This window comes from Homo sapiens, chromosome X (assembly GCF_000001405.40).
Source record: "Homo sapiens chromosome X, GRCh38.p14 Primary Assembly".
NCBI lineage: Eukaryota > Metazoa > Chordata > Mammalia > Primates > Hominidae > Homo > Homo sapiens.
In genome coordinates this window covers 78,268,660-78,283,190 of record NC_000023.11, presented here as the reverse complement: position 1 = coordinate 78,283,190, position 14,531 = coordinate 78,268,660, and the positions used below count along the sequence as shown (strand labels likewise).

Genomic DNA, 14,531 nt, shown 5'->3' with positions numbered 1-14,531 from the left:
CCAAAGAAACTCTCTGTATTCATCTAGTGGAGGGTAACATTATTGGGGGATCACGGTAAATTCTAAAAAACAAATTAAATGCTGTTTCATACAAGTAAAGCCATAATCTGTGAAATGAGTGGCTTGTAGTAAATGATCTCTACCATTCTAGGATTCACTACTTGCTTAAAAGTTTTACAATCTTCTTTTTATGGCTTAATACAAATTGTTGACTTCATTATAAATAAACAACTGAACCTAAATATTGAAATTTTAGAAAAGTTTATTTTGGTCTGCAAGGACTGGGAAGTTATTAATGAGACTATAGACCATCTGTTTCTTTGTATATTTTTATAGTTATTTATCAGTTTTATTTAGCATCTTTCAAAGATTTGAGAATTTCAAATTTAATTATAACATGTAATGGACAAATGATTAGTCTATATCAATGATATGGGTGGGATTTTTTATTTTTTAGATACAGGGTCTCACTGTTTTGCCCAGGCTAGTCTCAAACTCCTGAGCTCAAGCAATCCTCCTGCCTCAGCCTCTTGAGTAGCCAGGATTACAAGCATGTGCCACCACAACTGACATTATCTGTGTTTTTTAACATTATGGTTAGCCTTATGACTTAGTAGTTTCCTTGATATATTAGGAAGCAACTTTACTTACACAGCAACTTCAGACTCTGACATTGGAAAGATTTTAATTTATATTGGAATGAAAAGATAACTCCAAATAGTTTTAAATGACAAATAATACCTTCAAATGTTAAACTTGTCCTATCATTAATTTAGTATTCACTCAACACTTACTGAGCATTTATGGGCAAGATACATATGTGCTAGGCCCTGTGTGGGATGCTTTTTTATATATCAACCAGATAGTCTGGGAGATAAGATATACAAATCATTGATTTGGAAGATAGATTTAAGTTTCTCTAGAAGTTCATCAAAGATAGAAATTACTTCAGAAAGAGGCTGAGGGAAGACTTAGTCAAGAAAGTGTAATCTGAGCTGAATGATGAGTAGTTTTTGCATATGCAAAGAAGGAGGAAAGGACATTTCAGGAAGGAGGAAAGGCCATTTCAAGAAGAAAAAAAGACAGTGAAAAAAGCCAGGTGGGAAAGCTTATGGCACATGTCACTGGCATACTAAAATAGTTGTTTCTTCTAACTATACAGTGTACAAAAGAGAGAAGTGAGAGAGAAACTTGGAAAGGTAAATTGCACCCAGACTGTAGAGAGCCTTAAATATCAGGCCAAGAAGTCTAGATGTTATTCTGAAGGCATTCTAAATCACTGAAGATTTTAAGGAAGACATGTCATAATTGAAAACTACAATGTGTAAAAAATTATTCCGGAAAGGGTTTGTAGCAAGATAGATTGAGAGTTGATAGTGGTAGGAAGGCCTGCTGGTAATTATCTAATACCTTTCAAGTGTGGCTCATCTATAATATGAACAAGTTCTGAGGAGTTAATGTACAGTATGGTGGCTGTAGTTAATATTATATTATTTACTTGAAATTATTATATTATTTACTTGAAATTTGATATGGAAGATCTTATTTCAAAACCACAATGAAATACCATCTCACACAAGTTGGAATGGCTATTATTTAAAAATCAAAACATAAGGCAGGCCAGGCATGGTGGCTCACACCTGTAATCCCAGCACTTTGGGAGGCCAAGGCAGGCAGATAACCAGAGGTCAGGAGTTCAAGACCAGCCTGGCCAACATGATGAAACCCAGTCTCTACCAAAAAAATACAAAAATTAGCTGGGCGTGATGGCACACGCCTGTAACTGTAATCCGTTACTCGGGAGGCTGAGGTGGGAGAATAGCTTGAACCTGGGAGGCGGAGGTTGCAGTGAGCCGAGATTGTGCCATTGCACTCCAGCCCAGGTGACAGAGTGAGACCCTGTCTCAAAAAAAAAAAAAAATTAAAACATAATAAAACATAGCAGATGCTGGTGAGATTGTGGAGAAAAAAAAAACACTTATACACTGTTGGTGGGAGTGTAAATTAGGTCAGCCATTGTAGAAAGTAGTGTGGCAATTCCTCAAAGAGCTAAAAATAGAACTATCATTCCACCCAGCAATTCCATTACTGGGTATATACCCAAAGGAATATAAATCATTCTACCATAAAGACGTGTGCATGCATATGTTCACTGCAGCACTAGTCACAATAGCAAAGACATGCAATCAACCTAAATGTCCCTGAATAGAAGACTGGATAAAGAAAATGTAGTATGTATGCACCATGAAATACTATGCAGCCATAAAAAAGAATGACATTATGTCCTTTGCAGGAACATGGATTGAGCTGGAGGCCATTATCCTTAGCAAACTAACACAGAAACAGAAAACCAAATACCACATGTTCTCACTTATAAGTGGGAATTAAATGGTGATAACACATGGACACAAAGAAGAGAACAACAGACACTGGGACCTACCTGAGGGTAGAGGCTGTGAGGAGGGAGAGGATAAGAAAAAATAAGTAATGTGTACTAGGATTAATACCTAGGTGATGAAATAATCTGTACAACAAATGATTGTATAGATAAAAAAGAACACATGACACAAGTTTACCTATATAACAAACCTGCCCATGTACCCCTGAACCTAAAATAGAAGTGAAAAAAAAGAAAGTAGATCTTAAGCATTCTTACCCCCCCCCCAACACACACACACACAAATGGTATATGAGGTAATGGATGTGTTGATTAACTTTGTTAGGGAAATGATTTCACAGTGTATACTCACATGAAATCATCACATTGTACAACTTAGAATACGCAATTTCTATTTGTCAATTATATCTCAATAAAGCCGAAAAGGGCTATTACCAAAATTTTCAACAGCACTATCTAGTGCATTACAAGATAATATTGCCCAGTTTAGAAAAAACACTTGACATGGAACTAAGAAAAAGATTAACTTTAGGCAGTTTTTTTTCTTCCACAACTACACCTGAGTTCACAACCAATGGTGAATGAGCCAGGTAACTAGAAAGCAAACTGAGAAATAATGCAGGAGTTTGGAATAGGAGTTACATTTTTGTCTATGGCCTCAGAATGATTCTTCTTCAATTTTGGGGGGTGGGGAGGATTCAGGGGCTACATGTGCAGGTTTGTTACATGGGTATATTGTGTGATGCTGAGGATTAGGGTACAAATGGTTCCATCACTGAGGTAGTGAGTATAGTGCCCAATAGGTAGTTTTTCAGCCCACAATCCTCTCCCTTCCACCCTACCTCCTATGGTAGTCTCCAATGTATACTGTTCCCATCTTTATGTCCATATATACCCAATGTTTAGCTCCCATTTACAAGTGAGAACATGCAGTATTTGATTTTCTGGTCCTGCATTAATTTTCTTAGGATAATGGCCTCCAACTGCATACATGTTGCAGCCAAGGACGTTATTTAATGCTTTTTTATGGCTGCCTAGTATCAAATAGTGTATACATACCATGTTTTCTTTATCAGTCCACCATGGACAAGCATCTGAGTTGATTCCATGTTTTTGCTATTGTGAATTTTGCTGCAATGAACACATGAGTATATGTGTCTTTATAGAAGAACAATTTATACACCTGTGGGTATTTACCCAGTAATGGGATTGTTTGGGTAAAATGGTAGTTCTGTTTTATGTTTTTTCAGAAATCTCCAAACTGCTTTCCAGTAGCTGAACTAACTCACATTCCCACCAGCAAGGTATAAGTGTTCCCTTTTTGCAAACTCGCCGACATCTATTATTTTTGTTACTTTTTAATAACAGCCATTTTTACTGGTGTGAGATGGTATCTCACTGTGGTTTTGACTTGCATTTCTCTGATTAGTGATGTTGAGCATTTTTTCGTATGTTTGTTGGCTGCATCTATGTCTTGTTTTGAGAAGTGTCTGTTCATGTCCATTGCCCATTTTTTTAACAGGTTTTTTTTTGCATGTTGATTTAAGTTTCTTATAGATTCTGGATATTAGACCTTTGTTGGATGTATAGTTTGCAAATATTTTCTCCCATTCTATAGGTTGTCTGTTTACTCTGTTGATAGCTTCTTTTGCTGTGTGGAAGCTCTTTAGTATAATTAGATCCCAATTGTTAATTTTTGCTTTGCTGCAATTGCTTTTGATGTTTTCGTCATGAAATCTTTGGTAGGTACTATGTCGAGAATGGTATTTCCTAAGTTTTCTCGTAGGCTTTCTTTACTTTTAGGTCTTATGTTTAAGTCTTTCATTCATCTTGAGTTTATTTTTGTAGATGGTGAAAGGATGGGGTCCAGATTCAATCTTCTGCATATGGCACTAGCCAGTTATCTCAGCACCATTTTTTTGAATAGGAAGTCACTTCTCCATGGCTTGTTACTGTTGACTTTGTTGAATATCAGATGGTTGTAGGTGTGCAGATTTATTTCTGGAATCCCTATTCTGTGTCATTGGTCCATGTGTCTGTTTTTGTACCTGTATTATGCTGTTTGGTTACTCTAGCTTTGTACTGTAGTTTAAAGTAGTGTGATGCCTCCGGCTTTGTTCTTTTTGCTTAGTTTGCTTTGGGTGTTCAGGCTCTTTTCTGGTGCCATATGAATTTTAGAAGTGATTTTCTTAATTCTGTGAAAAGTGCTGTTGGTAGTTTCATAGGAATAGCATTAAATCTGTAAATGGGCAGTATGGCCATTTTAACAATATTGATTCTTCCCCTCCAGGAGCATAAAATGTATTTCTATTTGTTTATATCATATCTGGTTTCTTTGAGCAGTGTTTTGTAATTCTCATTGTAGAGATCTTCCACCTCCCTTGCTAGCTGTATTCCTAAGAATTTTACTCTTGTTGTGGCTATTGTGAATGGGCTTGTGTTCTTGATGTTTTCCATGTTGCTTGCTCTCTCTCCCTGTCTTTCTGGGATGCCAATGAGTCATGGGTTCAGTCTATTTACATAATCCCATATTTCTTGGAGGTTTTGTTCTTTCTTTATGTTTTTCCTTATTTTTGTCTGACTGAGTTATTTCTGAGAACTGATCTTTGAGCTCTGAGATTTTTTCCTCACCTTGGTCTATTCTGCTGTTAATATTTCCATTTGTACTATGAAATTCTTGAAAAGAGTTTTTCAGCTCTAGAAGATCAGTTTGGTTCTTTCTTAAAAGGGCTATTTTATCTTTAACTCTTGTATCATTTTATTGGATTCATGAGCTTCTTTGAATTGGGTTTCAACTTGCTCCTGAATTTCAATGAGCTTTGTTGCCATACAGATTTTTGAATTCTATGTCTGTCATTTCAACTATTTCAATCTGGTTAAGAGTCATTCCTGGGGAGCTAGTGTGGTCATTTGGCAATAAGAAGATACTCTGGATTTTAGAGTTGTCAGAGCTCTCCCACTGGTTCTTTCTTGTTTGTGTAGGCTGATGTACCTTTAAGGTTTGATGTTGCTGTTCTTTGCATATGGCTTTTTGCTTTTATATTATTTGATGCCCTTGAGGGTTTGACTGTGGTATAACTTAAGTTTAGTCAATTGACTTTGTTTCTGGATACTTTCAGGGGTCCGAGATTCAGCCCACTCCTCCTGAGCTGTGTGTTTTAACCTTGGTGGGCTGGGACCAGGCCCACAATTTTTTCACTGGTCCCTCAAGATTAAGGACCTGCTGTGCTGGAGGAACCAAGGTGTTCCCAGTATACTGACAACAACACATCAATAGGGACTGCCAGCAAAAGCACTTCAGGGGTGTGGGGGGTTGGCAGTAGGGTCTTTGCACATGTACTGGTGAAGTGGTGGGGAGAGGCTGCAGGCAACTGCATGCTAGTGGCAGTCTATCTACAAAAGCTCTCCGACTGTTATGCAGGGTCATCTGGTGAAAGAGCTATGGTGGTGGCTGCTAGCAAGTTCTTTGGCTGGGCAGCTGAGGCTGTGCTGCAAGCAGGTGTGGCCAGGCAGGGACCCTGGGAGAGTCCAGCAAACAAGGGGGTCCTCAGATCATACTACCCCTACCCTATGAGCAAGATAGCCCTACTCTGTCCAGGTCTGGCAGCCAACAAAGGATGAAGCTACTTAGAGGAGTATGGCGATCCTTGGGGTATGTGTAACCGTGGCCATGCTCCACTATAGTCATTCTGGTGCCAAATACTCTGGGCTCTGTGAAGGCTGGATTTCTGTCTCTGCCAACTCTCTGAGAAGTTCTCCCTGCTAGCTCAAATGTCCGTGGAGATCATGAGGTCTCCTGCAGCTAAGATTCCAAATGTCCATGGCCCAAATGTCCTTGGGGCACTCCATGCCTATTTCACTCATCTCTTCCCCAGGAGCTGCTCTGGGCCAGGAATGAGTCTTAGTACTTGGTACCCCTGTGCAGCATTCTCAGCTTCCTCCCCTTTCAGCCTTGGGTCTCCATCCTCCATCTGTCCACTTTCAATGCCTTTTTTCCAAGGATCAATTTGTAGTGTGCCAATCTCCTTCACAGTCTGGTCTTTTGGTGGAAGAAGCTGTTTCTGACTGCATATAATTGGCCATCTTGGCTCAGATAATCTATCCAATTTTTATCTTATGCCAAAAGTTCTTGGTAATAATAATAATAATAATGACTTTTTTAATGAAAGGGAAAAAATTGAACAACCAGCTGGGATGGCTAGATGGATGGACGCTACATCCTCAATAGCAAATATAATTGTGAGCGGTAGTAAACCTAGGAAGTTACATCCTACCTGCAACAACTACCATAGCTATCTGTTTCTGTATCCCTAGTAAAGATCAGTCCCCTTCATGGCTGGCAGTTTTTGCATACTCAAGCAGTCTTCCCACCTTGCAAACCCCAACACGTCTCTTACAAGGGAGCAGGAGTTGTGTAAAAGGCCAACATCAGACTTCAATCAAAGATTATCTGATATGTTACATACTGAGTCCCTTCAACCTTTGTAAAGAATAAAAGAGGATAATCTAGAGAAATATGAGAGAAATCACTACTTCTACACTACAGTATCTCACCTCAAGCCTTCTCTGATCAGAACTTATTGACTGCCCTCAGTGACAGAGCTGAAATAGACTAGAGTAAGTATCAACTATAAGAGAAATCCTTCCTATAAGAGAAATAACTGTATATTGCTAAACAGTAAAGTCTAGGAAGTCTAGAAAGAGAACAAGAATGAATGGCTACAACGTTTTTCTCACCAAACAAGTATATTCCAACTACTTGTACTACATATTTCTTCAGAGCCTTAAATAATGGTGCAGATTTTAGAAATGTATTTTATCACTCTAAAACATTTTTCTCATCATTAAATAACTATATGGCTTCTAAGGTTTCTCTTACCATGGAGTTCTGCAGTTATAGGTAGAGTCAACCATGTTCTAGATTAATACTCTCCCCCAGGGGAGGGAGTTTCATTAACAGCAAATTAGATTATTTTCCATAGGTATGGGTGGCACTCAACAGATATTACCAAGGAAGCCTTCTTCTCGAGGGAACCAAGCATTTTCTTTTTTTATTATTATTATTATACTTTAAGTTCTAGGGTACATGTGCACAACGTGCAAGTTTGTTACATATGTATACATGTGCCATGTTGGTGTGCTGCACCCATTAACTCATCATTTACCTTAGGTGTATCTCCTAATGCTATCCCTCCCCCCTCCCCTCACCCCATGACAGGCCCCGGTGTGTGATGTTTCCCTTCCTGTGTCCATGTGTTCTCATTGTTCAATTCCCACCTATGAGTGAGAACATGCGGTGTTTGGTTTTTGTTCCAGTTGCAATAGTTTACTGAGAATGATGATTTCCAGTTTCATCCACGTCCCTACAAAGGACATGAACTCATCATTTTTTATGGCTGCATAGTATTCCATGGTATATATATGCCACATTTTCTTAATCCAGTCTATCATTGTTGGACATTTGGTTTGGTTCCAAGTCTTTGCTATTGTGAATAGTGCCGCAATAAACATACATGTGCATGTGTCTTTATAGCAGCATGATTTATAATCCTTTGGGTATATACCCAGTAATGGGATGGCTTGGTCAAATGATATTTCTAGTTCTAGATCCTTGAGGAATCGCCACACTGTCTTCCACAATGGTTGAACTAGTTTACAGTCCCACCAACAGTGCAAAAGTGTTCCTATTTCTCCACATCCTCTCCAGCACCTGTTGTTTCCTGACTTTTTAATGATTGCCATTCTAACTGGTGTGAGATGGTATCTCATTGTGGTTTTGATTTGCATTTCTCTGATGGCCAGTGATGATGAGCATTTTTTCATGTGTCTGTTGGCTGCATAAATGTCTTCTTTTGAGAACTGTCTGTTCATATCCTTTGCCCACTTTTTGATGGGGTTGTTTGTTTTTTTCTTGTACATTTGTTTGAGTTCATTGTAGATTCTGGATATTAGCCCTTTGTCAGATGAGTAGATTGCAAAAATTTTCTCCCATTCTGTAGGTTGCCTGTTCACTCTGATGGTAGTTTCTTTTGCTGTGCAGAAGCTCTTTAGTTAATTAGATCCCATTTGTCAATTTTGGCTTTTGTTGTCATTGCTTTTGGTGTTTTAGACATGAAGTCCTTGCCCATGCCTATGTCCTGAATGGTAATGCCTAGGTTTTCTTCTAGGGTTTTTATGGTTTTAGGTCTAATATTTAAGTCTTTAATCCATCTTGAATTACTTTTTATATAAGGTGTAAGGAAGGGATCCAGTTTCAGCTATCTACATATGGCTAGCCAGTTTTCCCAGCACCATTTATTAAATAGGGAATCCTTTCCCCATTTCTTGCTTTTGTCAGGTTTGTCAAAAATCAGATGGTTGTAGATGTGTGGTATTATTTCTGAGGGCTCTGTTCTGTTCCATTGGTCTATATCTCTGTTTTGGTACCAGTGTTTTGGTACCAGTACCATGCTGTTTTGGTTACTGTAGCCTTGTAGTATAGTTTGAAGTCAGGTAGCGTGATGCCTCCAGCTTTGTTCTTTTGGCTTAGGATTGATTTGGCGATGTGGGCTCTTTTTGGGAGCCAAGGATTTTCATCCAGATTTTATTATCTAAAACAATTCAGAGATTTTCCAATAAATAGGTATAAATATAGATATATTCATACATGTGAAACTGCTTCTTAAAGCTTTTCTCTAATAGAAAAACAAGTTCATTTGAAAGGAAAACCTACCGAATTGTACTACAGTAGTATGATTTAAAATACAGGAGGGCTGTTTCACCTAGGTCTTGAAGATTTAGAGGAAGTCCATCAGAAAAACATGGGTGGGAAAGGACAAAAAAAAAGTTTTCTGGATACCTGTAGGATACGGACTCTTCTCCGGAGGATAAGGTACAGCTGAATCCCTCCTCAATGCCTCACTACTCTTGCTTGCTGCTGTGGTCAAAAAGTATACATAGTGACACTATGAAATAAAACATTAGTACTTCCTGTAATTTATGGTCTAGTTAAAATTGACAATTTTTTTTATTTATTATAGGCACAAAGCAGACATTCGTAGAGAAACATGGATGAAACAGGAAATCTGACAGTATCTTCTGCCACATGCCATGACACTATTGATGACTTCCGCAATCAAGTGTATTCCACCTTGTACTCTATGATCTCTGTTGTAGGCTTCTTTGGCAATGGCTTTGTGCTCTATGTCCTCATAAAAACCTATCACAAGAAGTCAGCCTTCCAAGTATACATGATTAATTTAGCAGTAGCAGATCTACTTTGTGTGTGCACACTGCCTCTCCGTGTGGTCTATTATGTTCACAAAGGCATTTGGCTCTTTGGTGACTTCTTGTGCCGCCTCAGCACCTATGCTTTGTATGTCAACCTCTATTGTAGCATCTTCTTTATGACAGCCATGAGCTTTTTCCGGTGCATTGCAATTGTTTTTCCAGTCCAGAACATTAATTTGGTTACACAGAAAAAAGCCAGGTTTGTGTGTGTAGGTATTTGGATTTTTGTGATTTTGACCAGTTCTCCATTTCTAATGGCCAAACCACAAAAAGATGAGAAAAATAATACCAAGTGCTTTGAGCCCCCACAAGACAATCAAACTAAAAATCATGTTTTGGTCTTGCATTATGTGTCATTGTTTGTTGGCTTTATCATCCCTTTTGTTATTATAATTGTCTGTTACACAATGATCATTTTGACCTTACTAAAAAAATCAATGAAAAAAAATCTGTCAAGTCATAAAAAGGCTATAGGAATGATCATGGTCGTGACCGCTGCCTTTTTAGTCAGTTTCATGCCATATCATATTCAACGTACCATTCACCTTCATTTTTTACACAATGAAACTAAACCCTGTGATTCTGTCCTTAGAATGCAGAAGTCCGTGGTCATAACCTTGTCTCTGGCTGCATCCAATTGTTGCTTTGACCCTCTCCTATATTTCTTTTCTGGGGGTAACTTTAGGAAAAGGCTGTCTACATTCAGAAAGCATTCTTTGTCCAGCGTGACTTATGTACCCAGAAAGAAGGCCTCTTTGCCAGAAAAAGGAGAAGAAATATGTAAAGTATAGTTTAAACCCATTTCCAGTCCAAACCAATGAAAATAGTTTCCCAAATAAGTATTTTGTCAAATCATTTACAAAAAAAATAAAAATTTTACTTAATATTTTACAAATACTTAACTATTTGGGCCTACAACTCTATCTCATTTATGCATCCACATGATTAGATATTTATAGATATTTTAAGTGCTAAAAATTCGGTCCACAACTATGAACTGAATTATAAATAATTTTGACCACTCACCAGAATTTGGAGAATATTTTTATCTTTGCACTATAAAATATGTCTTATATTAAAGTTTTCCTCTTCAAATAAAAGCTTTACAAACGATAAAATATATAAAATTAGTCAATAAAAATACATGCAAGCTAAAAGTTATAAAATATAAAACTAGATATAAAATTGGCAAATAGTTCTGAATCATTCTAACATATTCCTTTGCATGCATGCCATCAGATGAGAACTGGAGATGACTCAGGAGCTACATAAAACGTACTGTCACCCTTCTTTGTAGTACTGATTCGCTAGGCAAATTAGGGCCATTTCTTCCAAAAGAGAATGTAAAAGTGCTAGAACAGACTAGTATTCAGCTAAAGGGTCCTAAAAGCACCATACAATGTTCAATATGGCAACAGGAGAAATCTGGTCAAAAGCCAGTTTGTCTCCAGTTTTCTTCTGCCTTTGCCTCAGGCTCCCAAAATTGAATAGTGGAGTTTTAGCTGCTCAGTGAGGTTCCTGTAGAGATTTCTCTCCATCCATGACATATAATTCTTCCTTAAGAAGCCAGACAACTGGCACTCCTATATATAAATAGAAGTAATTAAAAACTTATCTGAAGAAGAGAAAAGGAAAAGGAATCTACTTTTCTATATGCCAATTGCTGGGATCAAAATAAACTACAAAGGATTTATGAAGAAAATTGTGAATGTTCACATTACAAATTCTTTTAAGAAGTGCATACATTTATGTATATGTATACAACTATATGTAAGAGATTTTGCTGTATGATATGCATTATGGGTGAAAGTTCACGATAAGTTTTATTATTGCTTTATTACTTTTTATTGGTATGTTGACAGGAATATCATGGATATGTTTACAGTGACTTTTATATTACAGTGGACGCTTTGATCTTAAAACAGCCACAACAACTCATCTACGGCTGAAATATAATATGCGTGGACAAGCTTTTGCTGAAGTGTAGTGTGTCCTTTAAGTTTGTTTTTTAAAAAGTAACTTACCTCAGAAGAAATAAATAACTATAAAGAAAAAAGAAAGCTTTGGGAAAATTTTCTATCTGAATCTGCCATGTGTACATTATTTCTATTTCATTTCTAATGTTGTAGTCCCTTGGGGAAAAAAATTACAAAACATAAATGGAAAGGACCTCTAAGGCATAGTAATAGCTTGTGCCCATTTATTTTTAATATACCTGTGACCTGGCCGTTTCTATGCTCTTACCCTATACTATTTTTCCCTTGCTGGAGACAAAGATCAAACATAATATTTATCACAAAATTCAATCCTCATTTCTCATTTACTGGGCCTTCTGCTATCCAGCAAGCAGCATAGTATGGTAGAAGAGCACTAGATTGGAATCCAGAAGACCTGGATGCTAACCTGGTCTCTATTGCTTACAGTTATGTAACTTTAAGCAAATGACATAAACTCTAATCCTCAGCTTCCTTATTTGTAAAATGGTAATAATAATACTTATCCTGCATTTTTTATAGGGCATTTGTAAAACTCAAATGAGATCAGGAATGTTAAAGTTTTTAAAAACATATAACAAGATATAATGTTTAAGTATTTAGAGGTAGTTCTGTTACTTAAAATTACTGAGTCATATTTACTACATGGATTCTCAGATTTGAAAGAATTTGAACAAAAATAGCCATAGTTAAATCCTACTCCACATCAAAGAATCTTGTGGGTTATTTATTTCTTCCAGGCTTTTGCCTATGTTATCATTTCCAGTCATAGTCCCACTTCCTCCCACACAGCAACATACCATAAAACCTTCAATTACTTGCAAGCCCATCATAAATTTGCTTTTTTTCATGTCTTATGTACTTATAGTCTCTACCACACTGCATAGTACTTAATGTTTTCACCAATTTTTCCACATGTTAATATTGTCTCCCAAAGTGGAGTTATCACTTTGTGGAATTATAAATTCCTTGAGGTTGAAAATTATGTATTTAAGTGGTAGTATCTAACATTTAATAAACTCTAATTATATACTATATTCTATTTTAAGTGTTTTACCCATATCAATGAATTTTATGCTTACAACTGCCCTGCAAGGTATGTACCATTATTATGCCTGCTTTGCTGAATTAAAAACTGAGGTGAGGTCATGGAACTTGCTCAGTCAGTCAGCTAGTAAGCACCAGAACCAAGGTTCAAACCCAGGCAGTCTGATTTCACAACCCATGTACTTAATTTGCTATAATATCCTGCGGGACCATTTTCAGGCAAAAAGCTTCAGCTGTGGGAGACAAATAGGTTCTACAGATCTGTTTTTCAACATTATGCCTACAGTTAACAATACAATATTGTATATTTAAAAGTTTGTTAAGAGGATATATTTCATGTAAGGTGCTCTTACCACAGTAAAAGATATACAAATACAGAGAGAAAGAGAAATATAGAAAATTAAAGTTTATTTTTTAATGATGTTTAAATGACTTATTCATTTATTTTAAAAACTAGGTTTAATTAAACTACATGCTTATATCTTTTAATTATATAAACACATGAACCATGACCTAAAGCCTATTATTTTAGTTGGAAGAACACATTAAGAATATTATATCCTGGCCAGGCTCAGTGGCTTATGCCTGTAATTCCACCATTTTGGGAGACCAAGGCAGGCAGATCACGAGGTCAGGAGTTCGAGACCAGCCTGGCCAACATGGTGAAAACCGCATCTCTACTAAAAATACAAAAATTAGCTAGGCGTGGTGGCACGCACCTGCAATTCCAGCTACTAGGGAGGCTGAGGCAGGAGAATTGCTTGAACCCAGGAAGTAGAGGTTGCAGTGAGCCAAGATCGTGCCACTGCACTCCAGCCTAGGTGACAGAGCAAAGCTCTGTCTCAAAAAATATATATATATATAATATATATAATTTTATATATATTATATATAATATATGTTCTATATTTATATATATTATTTATAATATATATTCTATATATATATGATATATAATATATATCCTATATTTATATATATTATATATAATATATATTCTATATTTATATATATTATATAGAATATATATTATATATAATATATATATTCCATATTTATATATATTATATATAATATATATTCTATATATATATAATATATATTCTATATATATGATATATAATATATATATTCTATATATTATATAGAATATATATATTTTATATATTCTATATAATATATCGATATATATTACATGAATATATTTTATATATTTATATTAAATATATAATATATATTTATATAATATACATTATATATTGATATATTATATATATTATATATAATATATCATATATATTATATATTATATATATTATATATAATATATCATATATATTATATATTATATATATTATATATAATATATAATATATTATATATATTATATAATATATATAATATATAATATATATTATATATTATATATTATATACATTATATATTTATATATTATATACATTATATATTTATATATATTATATCCTAGAACATTGACATTAGAAGGAGCTTCACATTTGTGATTCCTAATGGCCTTCACAGTCATTCTTTTGGTTGTAAATGGTCCTTTTAAATATTATCAGCTATCTAAACTCTCATTATATACTTAGTTTTTTATTTTCCTCAGCCAATATGGTTTATGTATATCAAAAACTATTTCAAATCTTGAAAGAATACTCTGCATTTTCACCTACAAAATAAACATAAATAGTTCTGTGTACTCATCTTAACTGTAAACTTTGGTTTTCTTGGTTGTCATAACCTCCTAGCCTTTCACCTTAGTGACATAATTTTGCATTTTAATTGTCCTTTTAAGATAATTA

General features: G+C 35.6%; 1 protein-coding gene across 4 annotated transcripts in view; it reads left to right on the top strand.

The window, feature by feature from the left end:
• The window catches only part of CYSLTR1 (cysteinyl leukotriene receptor 1), a 56,144-nt gene extending 44,421 nt beyond the window's left edge, over window positions 1-11,723 (top strand). For all 4 annotated transcript variants that reach the window (NM_001282186.2, NM_006639.4, NM_001282187.2 and 1 more), the window contains one exon: window positions 9,418-11,723. In NM_001282186.2, the coding sequence (NP_001269115.1) occupies window positions 9,445-10,458 (1,014 nt within the window). In that variant the 5' untranslated portion in view covers window positions 9,418-9,444 and the 3' untranslated portion in view covers window positions 10,459-11,723. The remainder of the gene's footprint in view (window positions 1-9,417) is intronic.